Source organism: Homo sapiens, chromosome 14 (assembly GCF_000001405.40).
Source record: "Homo sapiens chromosome 14, GRCh38.p14 Primary Assembly".
Classification (NCBI taxonomy): domain Eukaryota; kingdom Metazoa; phylum Chordata; class Mammalia; order Primates; family Hominidae; genus Homo; species Homo sapiens.
The window spans coordinates 87,579,804-87,600,557 of record NC_000014.9 but is presented as its reverse complement, the minus strand read 5'-3'; the positions used below and the strand labels follow the sequence as shown (position 1 = coordinate 87,600,557).

Sequence of the window (20,754 nt, the reverse complement as noted above, 5' to 3'; positions counted from 1 at the left end):
TTTCTCCAGCAGTCACATGCCCTCTTGGGAGTGGTCAGCAGGGAACTGATGACAGAATGGGGCAGAGTCTCAGTGAAGGCAGAGCTGATGCAAGAGCCTTGTGGTTGAAACGGTCCCTGAACAGTGCTCAGTGAAGCTCCTGAGTGTGGCTGCTATGGGCACTGCAGGAGGAGCCCCCTCTGACAGCAGCTTCTGCTCCAGGCAGCTGCTTCTCCCCACAATATGTTGGAGATCAGCAGGGGAGGAATGCATGGCAGGGATTTTTCTAACTTGCCCTTTATTTTGGGTTCTCTGGTGATTTGAGGGTCCTCTCCAGCTTGTGAGGATGTCTAACCTGGCTAAAAGCTAACAGATTGCTGTGAATGCATGATAATTAGAATTAGATAAAATCATTTATAAACATTATTCTAAATATGAAGGCTCCAGCTGCTGATGGCTTTTTTGAAGGCATTCTGTTTGCAGTTTAGAGTGTAGGGATTTATTGCTCTGCATCAAGTATTCTCTTGGCTATCTCATTTTTTTTGGGGGGGGATTTCCTTTGGGCATTTTCACTTCTAAAAATCTGCTCCTGGAAGGATTATTTGAGTTGGGAGATGGTCTGAGGAATGGAAATCAGTTGGCTAAAATTCATTCTAATATAGAAATTATTGGGGAGAAAGCAAAAATCTTCCTCACACATGTTCTTGGACCAGGGAAGGCCATCGATATGTCTATTTGGTGATGGGGTCTCTCTGCCAAAATATGTCTTTGAGGTTAAAAACAAGAACAATACTTTCTGAGTTTGTATGTGTTGAAGAAAGTGGTTTCTTTTAATGCTGCTAAATATTTCATTTTTTTCTTTAGGTTGTAATTTAAAACACAAATACAAAGGCAAGACCATGTCTTTAAAATAGAAATAAAACTAGACCATCAGTACTCATGTGAAAATGCAAAATAAAAATGTATGTTAGTAACCATATACTCCATTAAAACAAATTTTAGAAAGCTTGAAATAGCATTTTTAACTCACCTTAGTGGCACAGGAGATACAAATAAGTTTCTCAAGTTTTTTTAAAAAATAATTTATTCTTTTTACTGTCTATTGACTGCAAGGTAACTCTACACTGTGGGAAAATCTCCTAGGATAGATGATATATGAAATTTCCTGTTTTCTTCCCTGGCATTGGGACTTTTGCTCTTCAGTTAGTTCTGCTACATATTATAACCTCTGCTTTGTAACTAAATTGAATGTGCTCTCTACAGAGAGTTTACCAGATAGAATTTTGCAATTTAATATAGTAGGTAAAAGAGAATCCCCGTTGTTCATCTTTAGGTAAATGCTGAGAAGATGTGTGGGAAAGCAAACTCACTTTGTACATATAAATGTGCTCTCCAGTGCTTTACCAAACCCTGAGACAGGGCCTCTTCACTATTTGGGCTGCTGGAACCTGAGAGAGAGAAGGCCTTTTTGGGGTTGGAGTGCCCGTAGGGGGCTGCTTGCTCCACAGCAGGTTCTGGAGACTGGGCACACCAGCAGGCACGTTGACCTAGGCCAATAAAGACAGCAAGGCCAGAAAAGTCAGAATAAAGACCTGGAGAAGTTCTATACTAGCACCTCAGGGGTGAAATGCAGCAATAAATGCAGAATGAAATATAAGGGAGAGAAGCACGTAGGGGTAGAGAGGCATTAAATGGGCTTACAGAAGGTGTCCAAGGTGAGCAAAGTGGGTGATATGGGTTGATTTGTGTCCCCATCCAAATCTCATGTCAAATTGTAATCCCCAGTGTTGGAGGAGGGGCCTGGTGGGAGGTGATTGGATCATGGGGGCAGATTTCCTCCTTGCTGTTCTTGTGATAATGAGTGAGTTCTCATGAGATCTGGTTGTTTAAAAGTGTGTAGCACCTCTTCCTGCTCTCTTTTCCTCCTTCTCTGGCCATGTAAGATGTGCCTGCTTCCCCTTCACCTTCCTCCATGATTGTAAGTTTCCTGAGACCTCCACGGCCATGCCTCCTGTGCAGGCTGTGGAACTGTGAGTCAATTAAACCTCTTTTCTTTATAAATTACGCAGGCTCAGGTAGTTCTTTACAGCAGTGTGAGAAAGGACTAGTACAATGGAGATTTTGTGTTTCAAATTATATTTTTTTTTTATAAAAATGAAAACTGTTTACTGCAGAAAAATTGGAAATGGAAGAAAACTTTTTAAAAGAAAAAAAAAATTATGTGTGCTTTCTATATTTTCCTTCATTATAGCTAACCATTTACAATGTTTTACTGAGTGTCCTTACTTTAGTTCATTTTCCCAAGCCTAAATACCTAATTAAGATTACATTATCAATTTTGTATGTGACTAGAGTTCTACATTCCTTTTATGTCACTGTAAAGGAATACCTGAGGCTGGGTAATTTATGAAGAAGAGAGGTTTATTTTGGCTCATGGTTCTGTAGGCTGTACAGGAAGCATGGCACTGGTATCTGCTCCTGGTGAGGCCTCAGGAAGCTCTTACTCATGGCAGGAGGTGAAGGGGAGCCAACATATCACATGGAGAGAGAGAGGAAGCCAGAGAGAAAGGAGGAGGAGATAGTCTTTTTTAAACAACCACTTCTCCTGTGAACTCATTGCTACAGGAAGGGCATCAAGCCATTCATGAGGGATCTATTGCCCTGGCCCAAACACTTCCCACCAGGCCCCACCTCCAACATTGGAAATAACATTTCAACATGAGATTTGCATGGGATACACATCCAAGCCATGCCAATAATTATATGTCATTCTTTTTTTCTCTTAATGCTAGTCATTTATTCAACATTGAAGAAGCATTTGCTTTATGCTTGCTTTTGGTCTTGGGGTTTAATAATGAGCAATACAGAGGTTCGTCTCTCACACTGCTTCTGTTTTTGGGAGAATAAAGTATACCATCAGGCAGTGACAATGCGGCATTATTTACTTGATGCCTTTGTGAAGAGAATCCTCCAGAGGAATGCATGGTGAAGACTACTTTGGAAACATATGCAACTCCATGGTCAATAAGCATGCCCTTAGTACCAGACTGGGAGCCTTAGGAAAGCTTTTCTGCAGTGGAAGCTGTGCTCAGGGAAGGACCTATCCGGGGTGATGAAGAACATTCTAGGTAGAGGTCATAATGCACGTAAAGGTTGGAAAATTAGAGAACATACGACCCTAAAATGACTCCCCTGGGGATATGGAACAGGAGGCAGGTCTCAGGTCTTTAAGGAAGCATGTTGGAGTTTTCAGCTGTAAATAGGCTAACATTAGCCCTTATGAAGGCTGTGTTAGGTTCTGGTTGAAGATAAGTAGGGTAAAGGAGAAGTGTGCAAATTAGAACTACCTCCTCTTGTGAAGCTTATACATAGTTGGCTGGTCAAGTTGTAAACACTTGAAAATAAAGATGATGAGGCAAGACTACTGCTATGGCTTTAAGTGTCCCCAGAAATTTAAGTGTTAAAAACTTAATTGCTGTTACAACAGCATTAAGAGGTGGTACCTTTAAGAGGTGATTAGGCTATGAGGGATCTTCTCTCATGAAGGGATTAGTGCCCTTATTGTTACAGTGAGTTAGCTACCCTGAAAATGGGCTCCTGATTAACAAAAAAGTTTGGCCCCATTGCTCTCTCTGTTTCACATGCTTACTTGCCCTCCTGCTATGGAACTGTGCAGCAACAAGGCCCTCACCAGAGGTCAATGCCATGCTCTTAGAATTCCCAGCCTCTGGAACTGTAAGACAAATGCACTTCTGTTCCTTATAAATATCTCATTCTTTGGCATTGTGTTACAGCAGCAGAAAACGGACTAAGACAACTGTTGTCATATTCCCACCACCCAATTTATCAACCTTACCTCCACAGATACTTAAATGCATTCTCCTGTTACAGGGAGTTTGACACTGCTTCTAAGACCAATCTGTTATCTGTGTTCAGGATCCTGTCTTCTATCATCTCCTCAACGGCTTTGCTTTTTCTCTTTTCCTATTGTCTACTCCTATTTCCTGTGCATCACCATATACACACACTCTCAAGTCCTCCATATTAAGAAAATATATATTGACTTCATATTCTTCTCCAGGGATGAACTTATTTCTCTACCTCTTTCACAGAGTAATGTCTTCAAGGTGATTCAACTGTTGTCTCCCCTTTCTTCTCATTTCCCCTTTTCTTCCCCAAACTCCAGTAAGACTTCTGTCATGTCTACTCTTCTGCCATCAATTACATCCAGGTTGCCAAATCTGTGGTGATTTATCTGTGCTCTTCTTATTAGTACTCACTGGAACTTTTAACATAGTTGAACACTCCTGTTATGAAGCACTTTATATCCAAAACATCCATGGCAGGACACTCACCTGCTATTCACCCTAACCTTTGGCTCTGTCTCTTCTGTTCAATCTATTAAGGTTGTAGTGCCATGGGGCTCAGTCCTGGACCATCCTGTTTTTTGTTTTGTTTTTCTCTAGCCTACTTCTAATTTCCTCTTCCTCATTTGGTAACTAACGTCTCCATTACCCCAGTGTCTTCACCAAAATAGCCTATTCCTCTCACTGGTGATATCTAATTTATGAGCAAGTTGCTTTTAGCTCTAAAATATGACCACCTTTCTCCAATTTTAATTCTATCTTGAAGTCAAATAGCAGCCTCTCATCTGGACTGCTGTAAAGGCTTCCTAACTGGTTTCTCAGCTTCCACTTACCTCAATTCCGCTATGCCTTCCTAAAACATAAAGGGTTGTTGAGCTAAAAACAATTAAGAAGAAACAGATGCAGAAAAGCTCTCTTCTTTCTCCCTATTTTCCTAAATGTAGTGCATAAATTTGAAAGGTATTCCTCTCCCCTCTCTACCAGGAAGGACAGAAGTCAATTACTGGAGACAATTCTTATCAGTTCACATATGACACCAGAGGAATCTGCAAACAAGCCTGACTCCATTAATTTTCTCCCATATATTTACCTTTCCACAGTTTCCTGCCTCTGGAAGCCTAGAACTCCTTTCCTTTGTCTTACTACTTCTCTAAAATTTATTGTTTGTTATTAGAGATCATATATAAGCCAGAGTTCTAAGCCACTGCTTTGAGTTACCTTTCATTGAGATGCACACTGCACACATTAATAAACTAACTTGTTTTATTCTTGTTAATCTATCTTTCATGACAGGAGTCTGTCCCAGCTGCTAACTTATGATGTCTGGTAATTCCCTCGCTTAAAGCACTTTAGTAAGAAGCTCTTGCCCTTAGAATAAAATCCAAACCCTACCCTATGGTTTGCAGTGTGTTTTCTTCTTCCCCTCTGACACCATGTTTAACATTCTGCTAATTTACTACCCATTGGTACTTTGTTTATTTCCTGTTCCAGATCAGTTAAGTCAATATGGCTTCTTCCTCGGGGAATTCACACTTCTGTCATCCTTCACATGGAGTGTCTGCGTGATTTCACATTGACTTTCTTTTTCATTTAAGTGGTTTTATTTTTTTGATATTATGTTTGGGTCTTGTCATCATGGTTTTTCCACGCAAGTGTAATTTATGTGATCTGCTAGGCACTAATCTAACTCCTTTATCTAAATAGGCTCATGTAATCCTTATTACAATCTCATGAGGTAGGTTATAATATTGATACAGATGAGGACACTGAGAATGAGAGAAACTAAGCAATTTCCTCAAGTCAAACATCTATTAAATTAAGTTGAGATATTTCAGTCTGGCAGGTTGAACTTAGAGTCTACATTCTCATGTTTCAGAATGATGTGGTTAGTATGGTGCCATTTATGTTAAGAAAAAAACCCTTAAAACAACACCAATATGATGTCTGAGTAGGTGTATGTGACGTAGCTATTCAAGTGCTGAAAAAGGGGTCTACAATCATGGACACTGAGCTTAAGAGTGGTGCCTGTAGAAGGGTTGGGAGGAAGGTCAAGATGGAGGATGGGTTTCAAAAGATTTAGCCTTATCTCTAAGGTTTAAACATTTGTTTTTCAAGATGACTATATCTATCTTTATTATATGATAAAAAGTTAAAGATATTTTTATTTTCCACTTTATTGTGAATGCAGGAGAGATCATTCTTTCACCATTCATGGGTGACCACCTGTCTTAGTCCATTTTCAGTGCTATAAAGAAATGCCAGAGGCTAGGAAATTTATAAATAAAAGAGGTTTGTTTGGCTCATGATTCTGCTCGCTGTACAAAGAAGCATGGAACCAGCATCTGCTTCTGGTGAGGGCTTCCAGTTGCTTCCACTTATGGTAAAAGGGGATGGGGAACTGGTATTGACAGAGATCACATAGCAAGAAAGACGGTAAGTGAGAGGGGAGGATGGTTCCAGGCTCCTCTTAGTTCCAGGCTCCTCTTAGTTCCAGGCTCCTCTGTTAGTTCTTGAAGGTACTAACAGAGTGAGAATTCATTCATTATCATGAGGACAGCACCAAGACAGTCATTAGAGATCTGCCCCCATGACCCAAACACCTTCCACTGGGTCCCACCTCCAACGTTGAGGCTCAAATTTCAACATGAGCTTTGGAGGGTCAAATATCCAAACTATAGCAGCACCTGATGGCTGGCTGTTTCTGGCCTTCATTCAGCTTTTATATTCTCTAGAATACTTCTGTTTTCTCTCATTCACTCTATAAATCTTGTAAGTCGTAAGGAACATACAAGATTCATTAGCAATTGTAAAGAAATGTTTCTTCACATTTCTGTGCATGTATTTTTATTTATGATATTTAATATCTGATGGGCAAGATTTCAGTTAATGAAACAAGTAGCACAATCTTTTTCTCTCCCCAGAGCTGAATGAAGCAGTATGATAACATTTTGTGAACTGTTGGAGCACTGGTGATGCACTCGTAATGGTGTTAGCATGGAATAGAAGCTCTCGCCTCCCTGTCTTGAGGAGCATTACACCAGAATATTTTACAAACTGGATAGCAACTCGAATGAGTGGTTACCAGGAGTAACCATTTAATATGCATTTGCATTTAATATGCATTTTCATTTTGTGCACTTTCACAGCATGATATCCTCTGAGGCTCAAGACTCTATAAAGGAAGAAGGGCATGACGTATATTGAATCCATTCTCCAGATGATAAAACTGAGATTAAGAAAAGTGATGTGACCTCCCCATTGTTGCAGCCACTAAGAAGCTGAGATTCAAAGCCAGATTGTCTAAATTCAAATGCTCCAGCATTTTCACTGCACTGTGTTGCCTCCTAAATTCTTTCAGGGTTGACCAGATGCTTTTTTACATTTACAGACACTGTAAATTACATTTTAGACATTTTATAATTTTCAGTAAGACTGAAGAGTAACTGGGACACCTAATTTAAAAGGAGAAAAAGCTAGTCTCCAGTGAATCAACTGTGTGGCACGTTAGTGTTTTCTGGCACTTTCAGTTAAAGAAATCTTTATTACCATTTGACTTCTGGTGTTTACATTAGATGTGAAACTTAAAGACAAATACCACTTTGGGTAAACATTAAAATGGCACAAGTGAGTTTCACTTTATTTAACTAACTGGCACCATTCTTGAAATCTTATAAAAGTATTCTGTTTGCCTTTTAGAAATGCTTGAATGTTTTCTCTTTCTTCATGGTATATGACAGGTGGGGCTCCACAAAGCATCTTAGGCTTGTCTCACGCATTAAAAAAACTCTAATCTTTCCATATCAATATTGGAAGAAACCACCAGAGATGAACTTTCTTCAACTTCCTTTTTTATTTTTAAAATTATTGTTCTTATTATTCATAGAGTCAGGGTCTTGCTTTGTTGCCCAGGCTGATCCCAAACGCTTGGGTTCAAGCAGCCCTCCTGCCTTGGACTTCCAAAGTTCTGGGATTACAGACATGAACCAACATGGCTGATTACTTTCTTCAATTTCTTGAAGGAAGAAATTGAAGAGGACGTTACGTCCTCCTTTAACCCCCTCAACTAGATATCAACTGTCCTTGAATGTGTAACATAGTCCTTCAAAAAATAGCTCCCTTATTTGGGGGAAAAGCTAACTATTAGTTCATACATATATATATATGTATATACATATATATATGTGTATATATATATGTATATACATATATATATGTGTATATATATATGTATATACATATATATATGTGTATATATATATGTATATATATATGTATATACATATATATATGTGTATATATATATGTATATACATATATATATGTGTATATATATGTATATACATATATATATGTATATATATATGTATATACATATATATATGTATATACATATATATATGTAGGAACTAATATATAGCTTTTATATAGCATATATATATATATATAGCTCTCTCATTCAGCTTTTGTATTCTCTAGAATACTTCTCTTTTCTCTCATTCACTCTACAAATCTTGCAAGTTGTAAGGAGCATAAAAAATTGCATTCACTAGCAAAAGGGGATTCATTAGCAAAAGATCCATCAATCTATCTATCTGTAATCTGCAACCTTATAACTTTCACCTTCTCATCCTAATTCTGTCCTTCTGAGTCACATAGTGGAGAGAATATTCTGTGAACTACAAAGCACCACTCATGTGAGCTCTTAGAGTAACACATGGTCATTCTATTTCTCCTTCCACTTAGGAAAGCAGTAAAATAATTGGGAGACATTAAGGTGTAGCTTGGAGAAGGGCTGTAGTTTTCTCATGATTACCATCAAAACACTCCATATCTCAAATAAACGTGCATTCTTGGTTTAAATGTAAGTGTTTATGCTGTGCGAAAGTGGTTTCGAGGTATCCCATATGATCACAGTCTCTGTGAGAACAGTGAGTTTGCACACTCTAGTTCTAGAGAAATTTCCTTCATTAGACCACAGGCCCTTAACCCCACATCTGTAAAAATTCTAAAGCATCCATTGCTGCAAATATTTGTAGCTATTCATTCTACTTCCAATAGCCTTTGATTTCTTCCATAACAATTTACCACAGACAGTGGTTTAAACCACACACATTTATTACCTTATGGTTCTATGGATCAGAAATCCAATCTGAGACTTCCTGGGATAAAATCCCTTCTGCAAGCAGCAGGGCTACATTCTTTTTTGAAGGTTCTAGGGAAGAATCTATGTCTTTGTCTCTCATAGCTTCTAGAGGCCACTCATATTTCTTGGCTCATGGTGCCATTTCATCATCTTTAAAGCCAGCAATGAAGCAAGTGTCTGATCCTGTTTCTATTATTATTTCTTTCTCTGCCTCTGTCCTTCTGCCTCTCTCCTACATTCAAGGGCCTTTGTGATAACACTGAGCCAACTCTGATAATCTAGTATAATCTCCTTACCTTAAACTCAGCTGATTAGTCAACTTAATTCTATCTGCAACCTTAATTCCTCTTTGCCATGTAACCTAACATATTTACAGATTGTGAAGATTAGGACACAGACATTTATTTGTGTCAGCGTGTGTGTGTGTGTGGTGGGGCTTATTCTGCCTACCATGCTGATCTTTTTAAGTCTTTCTGTTTCCTGTTTACCCATCCTCATTTTCCTTCCTCATATGGTATCCTGTTGAATACATCACTTTCTAGTTTCTTTTCCCTGGGATTTTGTTTACTCGTAATACATTGCGAACTACTACGAAGTCGATGCTGTGTTAGATGCTGGGGAGCTCACATCTAGTAACAGATGATTGTTCCAAAAAATTACAAGGATGTGATAGAGATGTGTAAGAGGTACTGTTCCAGGCTCAGTTTGCCAGAAGACTAATTCTGAGATAGGAATTAGAGTGCAAGAGGTTTAGGGAGGGATTTGGGGATCAATGCCTGTGCAAGGGAAGGGATGGGAGTAGGAGTAGGCAGAGAGGGAAGACAAGTTGTGATAGACTCTCACTGAAAACCTCAAGTAAGCCGATGGCATGGTCCAATGACAAGATAACCCTGCAGAGCTGTTTTAAGTTGGGGCAAGTGTGCAGGGCCTTTGTACACCCACAGTCACCAGTCATTTGATGACAGTCTCCTCAGGAAATGGCCATGACTTTGGGTGAGGCTGTCTTAGCTGAGGCAATCCTTGAATGGGGCCAACAGCTGAGGGCTGGCAGCACCCGAAGCACCTGTGGTTATGCCTTTGATCCCACTTATATCTGAAGGGGGATATAAGTGTAGATCACAGTTTACATTTCAGGTGCTATGAAAGCTTCTAGCAAAGGCATCTTTCCCAGTCTGGCATCAAATGCCAAGGAAATAGCCTGGCACTGTCAGTGGGGTCCTGGTGTTGATAACAGCTGACTTGGCAGCTTGGTCCTGATTTCATTCAATAGAAAAAAATCAGTATATTTTGTTGGTCTGAGGAACATCAACATCAGACATGCCCCTATAACTGTGATAGACAGATTTTTAAAAGGCCACTCTGTAATCATGAATGTCTACGGCTAGAGAAAAATAAGAATATTATCCAAACTATAAAATGACCAAATACCACTGTAACTTGGATAGTGTGAGTGACTGCTTTTTTTGCGGGGGGTGGACAGGGTCTCACTCTGTTGCCCAGACTGGAGTGCAGTGGCATGATCTTGGCTCACTGCAACCTCTGCCTCCCGGATTCAAGCGATTCTCCTGCCTCAGCCTCCCAAGTAGCTGGGACTACAGGTACATGCCACCATGCCCAGCTAATTTTCATATTTTTAGTAGATATGGGGTTTCACCATGTTGGCCAGGCTGGTCGTGAACTTCTGGCCTCAAATGATCCATCCGCCTTGGCCAAGTGACTGCCTTTTTTTTTTTTTATTGATACCAAGTACCAGCTCCAGCTGTGATTTGTTCCTCCTGTTTTATAGATAAGAATGATTAAAATATCAAATATAAGATTATCCCCACTTTCTGACAACATACAACCCAGAGCAAAACCCCACTTCCTTGAACTCTCCCCCTAAAACACAAGCCCAAATCCAATGACAAGTTTCCCCCAGCTCTACTTAACTGAACACCGTGGTTTCCCATAAATATGCTTTTTCTTGTTGTAACAAGTAGGTAAACCCAATTTTTGATTATCTTCCTGGTGGTCTTTGGCTGAGGGCATTGGCAGATTTAAGTTCTTTTGGTGCAGAGACTGTGCCTGGCACATAGTACTACAACACATATTTGCTAATAGAAGATCTTATTTGGCTTTGAATCCCCAGCACTTTGAATATTCAGTAATGAGTAATTTATCGGGTATTAAGATGTTTAATATATGTTTGTAGAATATATTTATTGATTGATGAATGAGAAAATAGGTCTATTCTCAAAAAGTTAAAGACATTTTTAAAAAGGGGTATAGTAGGAGACATGAGGGAATAGAGCCAGTTTAGGAAAATCAAAGTATTTCAGTATTGCCACAGTACAGGACACCAGAGAATGGGAAGAAGAGTCGTATGTGCCATGGTAAGTAATTTTTGTCTAAGAATGTTGATTTTTCTAAAAACAGAGGAGCCATTTAAAAGTATTTTAGGTGGTGGGTAGCAAAAAAATCTTCCAGGTAAGGTGTAATTGGGTAATAGAATGGTTTAATAACTACTAACTTCTGTGTTATGCTGTGCTTTGGATTACAGGATTATTTTAGTAACCAAACAGTGATTAGAATTGAGCATAGTTCACCTTTGGGTGTAATCTAGGGAATTTAGGTAACCTGCGTTGTCCCTGGCTTGACTCATTGGGATGTCAAAACTTCGGAGAGCACAGAGCTCTCTATTACTGTGGCTGAACCTAGTGAATAGTCACTGACTTTTCTCTTTGGTAGTTCCCCCCCGGGGAGAGTTTTTCTTTGAAAGACTAAAATGAGAAGAAGCATGCCAGGTGCTCCTGGTGGCCACAGCTAATAGCAGGAACATCTGGGAAATCACAAGGGAACACACCTTAGTCTATTTTCTGTTGCTTATAACAGAAAACCTAAAATTGGGTAATTTATAAAGAAAAGGAATTTGTTTCTTACAGTTGTGGAGACTGAGAAATCCAAGTTGAGGGGCCACATCTGGCAAGGGCCTTCTTGCTGGTGAGGACTCTCTCCAGCGGTCTGAGGTAGCTCAGGGCATCACCTGGAGAGTTGAAGAGAGAGATGAGCACACTAGCTCAGGTCTTTTCCTCTTGTTACAAAATCACCAGTCCCACTTCCATAATAACCCATTCATAAGGACAAAGCCTTCATAACCCAATCATCTCTTAAAGACCTCACCTCTCAATGCTGTCACATTGGGGATTAAGCTTCAACATGAGTTTCAGAGGGGAAAAACATCTGTACCATAGCAGAACATGAGAGTGCTTTTGGGTCACAGTCATGAGGACATTTATGAGCTATGTGGATACAGAGATACAGCAATAGAGAACCTCCACCTTATCTGCCTGTGTTGCCACCTTGGAAATGAGGTGCCATCATTCTCAGGGATTCCTGAAGCTGATTGTACAGTTTTAAGGTTATGCTGTCCATGGTGACCTTGTGAGAAATGACAGGTTTACCAAGTCCATGTCTCCCTACTTCCTCCTCATCATTCCTACCTTTAGGATATAGATCCCATGAGGGAAGACCTAGATGAAATTGAGCTGTGGGTCCCATAGCCTCAGATATTCCCTCTTCTGTTGCTTTGTGCCTCCTCTCTTCTGCATCCATGTTCCAGAATTTCAGTGTTCACATAACTTTTGCTTGACCAATGCCAGCTCTGAAAAATGATCCATTAAACTCACTGATATGGTGGAAATTACTCTTTGGGACAAATTTCCAAAGGAGGCTCATAATTCCTGAGAAAGTCAGGAGTAAAGATGTGCAGAGTTTAGGCATTCCAAGTAGGATATGGAAATGTGCAGAGATTTTTAAAGTCTCAGTCTTTTCTTTGCCTTCAAAATGATAACGTACTTTGAGGGGCAAAAGCCCCTTTTTGAACAGATAATTTCAGGGAAAAAAGCCATACTTAATCTGTGCTTATGTAGATGAGAATGACAAGAACATTCTTTCTCATTTTCATGAATCAGAACTCATAAGAACTCAAGACTGAAAAGTCTAGAATCTACTCTGTACAAATTGACTCTGCTATTTTAACCCACTTCCTGGGGTCATTTTAATTATATCTGAAAAATGAGTTATGAGAAGAAAATGAATTAAATTTCTCTTTATACGTAATTACAATGCAAATTTAAAACTGCTGTACCCAGTTCCTAGAAATGACTTGGGTGGAGATTTTCTTGCTCTCTCTTTTCATTTTTACCTTTTTCTCCTACTCATTTAGGAAAAGATGTAATGATTAAGTAGAAATGGAAAAGCAATAATAAAAAGTTAAGTGTAAAAGGCAACTTAATTTCCTTGTTACTCTGAATGTTAATAGTCGTGTGTGGGTCTCACCCAGTCTTTCGTCAAAGTAGCTTTATAATATAAAACACTCCAAAGCCTACTTAAACTTTATTTCCTTTAAGATGAACTAATTTCACAAGTTTTGCTTTCCTTTAGGTATCTATATTTAGATACGTATTATTTTGTTACAGTGCTGCAGAATTGAAGCTCCTTAAATGTTCTGTTAGTATAAACAAAAAGAAAAGTGGCAATTATTTCTGATCATGAGTGTTATCATTTAATATTTAATTTAATTTAATTATTTTAGAGACAGGGTCTCACTCTGTCACCCAGGGTAAAGCGCAGTGGTGCAATCATAGCTCCTAAGTAGCTAGGACTATAGGTGTGTGCCACAACTCCCAGCTAATTTTTATTTTTATTTTTATTTTTTAGAGATGGGGTCTTGCTATGTTGCCCAGGCTGGTCTTGAACTCCTGGCCTCAAGTGATTCTCCTGCCTCTACCTCCCACAGTGCTGGTATTACAGATGTGAGCCTCTGTGGACCAGAAGCATCTACATCCCCTGCCCCTGGAAGCTTGGTAGTACAGAACCTCTGTCTTACCCCAAACCCGCTAAATCGGAACCTGCATTTTACAAAACTCTATGCATATTCACATGCAAGACTATGATTACTCATAGTTTTGAGACTATGAGAAAACAAGTATTGAGCATTCTAGGCTTCTGTTATTGCTCTGTTTTTATTTTTGCCCTACTTCACAAAATATATTATTCAAGGTAGGCATCTTCACAAAAAACAACCCTATGTCTCAGGGGCTTCATGAAATAAGCTATTTCTCATGTCAGTCTATGGTGGACTGAGCTGGCTGGGCTGGGAGGGGGCAATCTTTCCCATTCAGTCATTTTGCAGTCAGAGGTATTCCATCTAGTGGCTTTCTCATCCCCAGGGGCCACATAATTCTTCACCAGACCCCTGATTCTGAGCTTCCAATGAAGAAAAAGCCAAGACATGGAGTAATGGGTAGCATCTTTTATGACCAGGCATGGATCGGGGCACATCACTTCTACCTGCGTAATATTTATCTCAGCTCAGTCACACGACAACATCTAGCTGCAAGAAAGGCTGAGAAATGCCATCTTTTTGCATAGGAAGAGGAGAAAATAGTTAGAGCAAATGTTCAGTCGGTCTCTGCCTCACTTATCCACCCTCCAGAATCCAGCTAAATCCCTACCTTCTTCAGGCTGGGAGATGTCTTCTTCTAAGTTCCCATAGTGCATATTATTCAGTTTTTTAAAATCTACATGTTCCATTAATAATATTTTAATTTTAAACTATTATCTATTGAGATGTGTGTGACTTACTTTCCACTAGAATTTTTAAAATTTCTTCTTCTTTTTTTTCCACTAGAATTTATAAGCACTTGTAAAGTAGTGGTCATGCCATATTTTTTTTTGTAAACTGCAGAGACAAGATTAATTTTATGTGTGTAATAAGCATCTTACTAACATTTATTGATCAAGTTAATGAATACATACGGCAGTATAATGCTTCTTTTTAAATCAGCACTTAGTAGAGTATCTTGTGGATCCTTTCAATATCTGGATTCCATGATTAACCCTGCTAGGGTCAGAATGTTTGTGTCCCACCAAAATTCACATTGAAATTTTAACTTCCAAGATGATAGGTCAGGAGGTGGCTCCTTTGGGAGGTGCTTAGGTCATGAGGCAGAGCCTTCATAAATGGGATTTGTGCCCTTATAAAAAAAAGGCCCCAGAGAGATCTCTCACCACTAGCTTGCTGTAAGAATATCACAAGAAGTTGTGACCTGTGAACCAGAGCAATGAGAAGATGTCTGTCTGTGAACCAGCAAGCAGGTCCTCAACAGGCACTGAATCTGCTGGAACCCTAATCTTAGACTTCCCACCCTCCAGAGCTGTGAGAAATAAATGTCTGTTGTGTGTAAGCCACCTAGTCTATGATACTGTGTTACAGCAGCCTAAACAGACTGAGAATACCCTCCAAGTTTAATTAGAAAATAGCCTTCTAATCCCTTGTCACTTTCTTGGATCTGTTAGCAGTTTTGTTCTCTTAATGCATCCTAATAGAAGTGCATTGCTAGTGGCATCACATGGACCACTGGACACAATCATAATGCCCACATCATAGTGGAGGAAATCAAAGTCCCCAGACAAAAAGTAATTTGCTAGAAGTCACGTAACTGGTAGGCAGAGAAGGCACGTTTGGACTTGTTGGTAGTCTTTTGACTCCAAATCCAGGATTTTGTAAAGTGCCCCATACCATTTCTTCTATAGACAGCTGCATTATTTTTGTTGTTGTTGCTGTTGTTGTGTTTGTTTGTTTGTTTTAGAGTCTTGCTCTGTCGCCCAGACTGGAGTGCAATGGTGCGATCTCAGCTAACTGCAACCTCTGCCTCCGGGCTTCAAGCGATTCTCCTGCCTCAACCTCCCAAGTACTGAAATTACAGGCATGTGCCACCACACCTGGCTAATTTTTGTGTTTTTGGTAGAGGTGAAGTTTTCCCATGTTGGCCAGGCTGGTCTCAAACTCCTGAACTCCGGTGATCTGCCCTCCTTGGCCTCCCAAAATGCTGGGATTACAAGTGTGAGCCATTGCGCCCAGCCCACCTGCATTGTCTTTGGAGACTTCAAAACTACCTATTGGGTGCTATGCTTATTATCTGGGTGACAAAATCATTTGTACACCAAACCCCTGTAGCACACAGTTTACCTACGTAACAAACCTGCACAAGTACCCCTGAACCTAAAAGTTGATAAATAAATGAAATACAAAATAAAACCCCACGTAATTGACTAATGACAAAATTTTGAAGAGGGATAAATATAATTTCTAGATGGCTCTTTTCATTTTTCAGCCCCTGCTTTGCCAGTGTCATCACAGGGAATGTAAGCTTGCTTTAGAACTTTTCATTTTTCAAAGAGCTTGGAATTTTTGCACAAAATAAATTTGCTGACTGAATCTCATCTATGAAAGCTATCTAGTAAACTCAAATATAAGGCCATTTAGTGTTACTGCAGTTTTGGTGTCAAAACAAGTTTCATTTTGTGTGTGTGTGTGAGTAATTGTTTTCTTTCAGTTTTTTTTCTTCTTCTTTGTATCTGTCTTCTTGACTGCTTATAAAATATTTTCTTTTTCTTAGAAACTAGGAAATTAACACATATACCTACTTGTGCATGTTTTATTTTGTTTTGCTTAGTTGTCAGTGGACCCTGTGAGTCTGAAATTTTCTTCCTCCTAAGCAATGTTCTTATATGATCTATTGCTTATTCTCTCTCTGCTTTGTTCCCTTCTTTCCAGAAGATTACCTGTTTTAGATCTCATGAATCAATCCTTCATCATACTCTTAGCTTCTTTTCAGTAGTACTTTTTTGTATGTCTTTATGTTCTGGGAAGATTTCTTGAGTTAATATTTTAAGTAATACATTTTGTTTTCTGCCTCATAGAGTCTACTGTTCATTGCACCAAAAACATTTTAAATTCTGCTATTCATGTCTTTCAAGATTTAAATTTTGTTATGCTTCATATATGTAAACCTCTCTTGAAATCGATTTATGGAATTGATCAGAAATTTTTCTCTGATAATTTTTTTTTCTTGGAAGAAATATTTCTCAAAAGGAAACATTTGCCTTGAAAACTCAGAATAGTTACCTTCTGTGGTCTGTTTATTCTTTCACTATTACTTGTGATTTTCTCCCCTTTTCTGTAAAGCCAAGGGGGCCACAACTTTATTCCAAGGAAAAGGGTGAATTTTACATTTAATAATTTTCTTGTTAGCTTAGGCATGAACAGAAATAGAAGTACTGGAAAATGGCTTCATGTCAGGAACATTCTCTGATTAACTCAGTGGTGTTTGCCCTTCAGTGTTTCTTCATTGTGCAGCTTTTCACCTCTTAATTAGCTGTGTGCTTTCCTGCCACATTGTTGAAGCCACTGAAAATATGAAGAGTCTTGACTATTGGTGTTGCATCCTCCAGAATCAGTAAAACCCAGGGCCGTTCTTTGATGATTCAAGCGAGGTGTCTGGCTGTCAATCTGTTTCTTCTGACCAGCAAGGCGGGACAGTCTCATCGAAGCCGACATTGCCCTGTGCTCAGTATTTTCCTGCCTCTGTATGTGTGCCTAAGTGCAGGGAGAAGGGAACTTTCATGGGTCTCTGAAGAAGACTGGAGCTGTTATCTTAATCTGGACTTTAAAAAATATTAATAGACTATCTTATCAGAGAAGTTTTAGATTAACAGAAAAATGAGCAGAAAGTACAGAGAGTTCCTATACACTTCCTGCTCCTTTTCTTCCCTCTCCCATTATTAACATTTTGGATTACTGCGGTTGTATTTCTTACTATGGGTCAGCCAATTGTAATACATTATTACAAACTAAAATCCATAGTTGACATTAGGGTTTACTCATTGTGTTGTATATGCTCTGGATTTTGACAACTGCATAATGTCATGTAGCCACCATTACAGTATTATACAGAACATTGTTTTCAAATAATTAAGTTCAGCATATTGTGTAAAACCAGTCACCAGTTAGCTTGGAAATAGCACCAGCTACATTTCTGAGTGGCCGGGATCTTTGTGGCACTGAATTGTGTGCACTTCAAAAACCGTGACATTGATTTTGTTGGGAAAAAATCCTAGGCAGCATGGTAGCAGTAGTTTGTGTTGGCTCTACCTAGATTCAACACAACTGGAAGGAAATTTTACCTTTATCAACGCTTGAATAAGAGTTTCAACATCATTTATGGAGTAGCTATTTCTTTTCTATTAAAAAGTTCATGGTAAAAAAGTTAAATCCAAACACTCTGTCGATGAAGAAAGTCAAACTGTGTAAAATATTTGAAGAGATTTATTCTGAGCCAAATATGAGTGACCAGGGCCCATGACACAGCCCTCAGGAGGTCCTGAGAACATGTGCCCAAGGTGGTCGGGGTACAGCTTGATTTTATACATTTTAGAGAGGCGTGAGACATCAATCAAATATACATTTAGGAAATACATTGATTTGGTTCAGAAAGGTGGGACAACTCAGGACGTGGGGAGTGGGTGCTTCCTGGGTATAGGTAAATTAAAATATTTTCTTTCTTTCCTTTTTTTTTGAGATGGACTCTTGCTCTGTTGCCCTGGCTGGAGTGCAGTGTTGCAATCTCGGCTCACTGCAAGCTCTACCTCCTAGGTTCATGCCATTCTCCTGCCTCAGCCTCCCGAGTAGCTGGGACTACAGGTGCCCGCCACCATGCCTGGCTAATTTTTTTTTTTTTGTATTTTTAGTAAAGACGGGGTTTCACTGTGTTAGCCAGGATGGTCTCGATCTCCTGACCTCGTGATCTGCCCACCTCGGCCTCCCAAAGTGCTGAGATTACAGGTGTGAGCCACTGTGCCTGGCCTTAAAACATTTTCTGATTGACAATTGGTTGAGTTTGTCTAAAGACCTTGGATTGATTAGAAAGGAAATGTTCAGGTTAAGATAAAATATTGTGGAGACCAAGGTTCTTTTGAAGTCTTATAGTGGCTGCCCTTAGAGATAATAGATGACAAATGTTTCCTATTCAGACCTTTAAAAGGTGCTAAACTCTTACTTAATCTTTTCAGGATTGGGAGGGCCTGGAAGAAAAAGATCTGGCTACGTTAATAGAGATTCTTTACAAATGCACCTGTCCCTCCACCAAGGACAGCTTTGCAGGACCATTTCAAAATATGGCAAAGAAACATGTTTTGGGGTAAAATAATTTCAACTTTCTTCTTTGTCACGTGATGTTATGCTAGAGTCAGACTGGAAAGTAAGTCACAATATAAAGGGTTAAATAAAGCCCATCTGATGAGAATTTATGGTTTGTAAGGCATGACTCCCTAGACCCCTTAGATAGGAATTTGGGCAAGTTAAAAAATCAGAGCTCAGTTCTCAACTGAGGTTTCCTTTTCAACCTGGCCTTATTCTTTTGAGTGTGGGAACACCTTTCTTACAACAGAGACTCTATTGAGTATTGGAAATAGGAAGGAAGCCACACGTGGATGTGCAAGTGGATTATTCTTGCCTATTGATTGCGGTAGAAAGAAATGAGCAGGGACACTGCTCCTTGGCTAACACGCATGCCCTTCCTTATTGCTACTCCCAGCTTGCCACAGCAACATCCCCTATGGCTCAAAAAACTTTCTTTTTCCTTAGATGATTTTTTTGGGAAACTTCTCCATTTACTTCTTAACCTTGTTTCTTCTTTGTCTGCATTGATTGGCCATGCCTTAGTTTTCTGTTTCTCTGTAAAGCATTGCCACAAGCATAGCAGCATAAAACTACACCTGTTTATTATCTTACTGTTCTGTAAATCAGAAATCTGGATGGGCTTGCCTGGGTTCTCTGCTAATGGTCACACACCTGAAGTCTTGCCTGAGCTGAACTTCTATCTGGTGGCTCCAGGGAGGGATCTTCTTACAGGCTCATTCAGGCTGTTAGTAGAATCCAGTTCCCTCTGGCTGTGGATCTGAAGCCCTTGTTTCCATGCTGGCTGTCATCTGGGGCTGTCTTCAACTCCTCAAGACCACTAGCTTTCCTTCTCATGCATCCTTTCCATCTTCAAAGGAGCAATGGCACATCGGGTCCTTCTCACACTTTAAATGCCTCTAACTTCCTTCCCAGTCTGAGTATGTTCTCAGCTTTTAAGGGCTTATGTGATTAGATAAGCTACACCTGAATAATGAGCAGAAGCTGGTGAAGGTCAACTGTTCATATAAGGTAACAGTCATGGAAGCAACATCTCATTATATTCACATGTTCTGAGGATTGAGGCGTGAGGCATTGGGTGGAGGCATCGGTGCATGTTTAGAATGATACCTACCTCCCATCCTCCCGATGTCCATCCTTTGTGCTACTGTTGCCATATACTTTCCTTTTACATAAACAGCCAGAATATTGTTACCATTTTTGCCTTAAACTATTTTCTTTTTAAAACAAAACCTTGGTGCCTGTTTTTTTCCCTGCAGTTCAAGTCTCTCCTTAGATATCACCTTGTCTATATTTACTACCATCTAAACGTTTCTGATGGGCTTAAGAGGAGTTGGTAATTTGCAGCTTTTCTAGTGTTTAAGTTTGGATGCTCTTTCTAGCTCCGCATGTGTCCAAGCTGAAACTGGTATGTTGTGTTTTTGTTTGTTTGTTTTGTGAGACAGAGTCTCACTTTATCACCCAGGCTGGAGTGCAGTGGTGTGATCTTGGCTCACCACAACCTCTGCCTCCCAAGTTCAAGCAATTATCCTGCCTCAGCCTCCTGAGAAGCTGGGATTACAGGTGCCTGCCACCACGCCCAGCTAATTTTTGTATATTTTAGTACAGACAGGGTTTCACCCTGTTGGCCAGGCTGGTCTCGAACTCCTGACCTCAGGTGATCTGGCCCCCCCTCCCCCCTTGGCCTCCCAAAGTGCTGGGATGACAGGCATGAGCCACCACGCCTGGCTTACTGTTTTTTTTTT

General features: G+C 39.7%; 1 long non-coding RNA gene across 1 annotated transcript in view; it reads left to right on the top strand.

Annotated features, from left to right (window-relative positions):
- The window catches only part of LINC02296 (long intergenic non-protein coding RNA 2296), a 268,818-nt gene that overhangs the window by 12,906 nt on the left and 235,158 nt on the right, over positions 1-20,754 (top strand). The gene's annotated exons all lie outside the window — the stretch shown is intronic.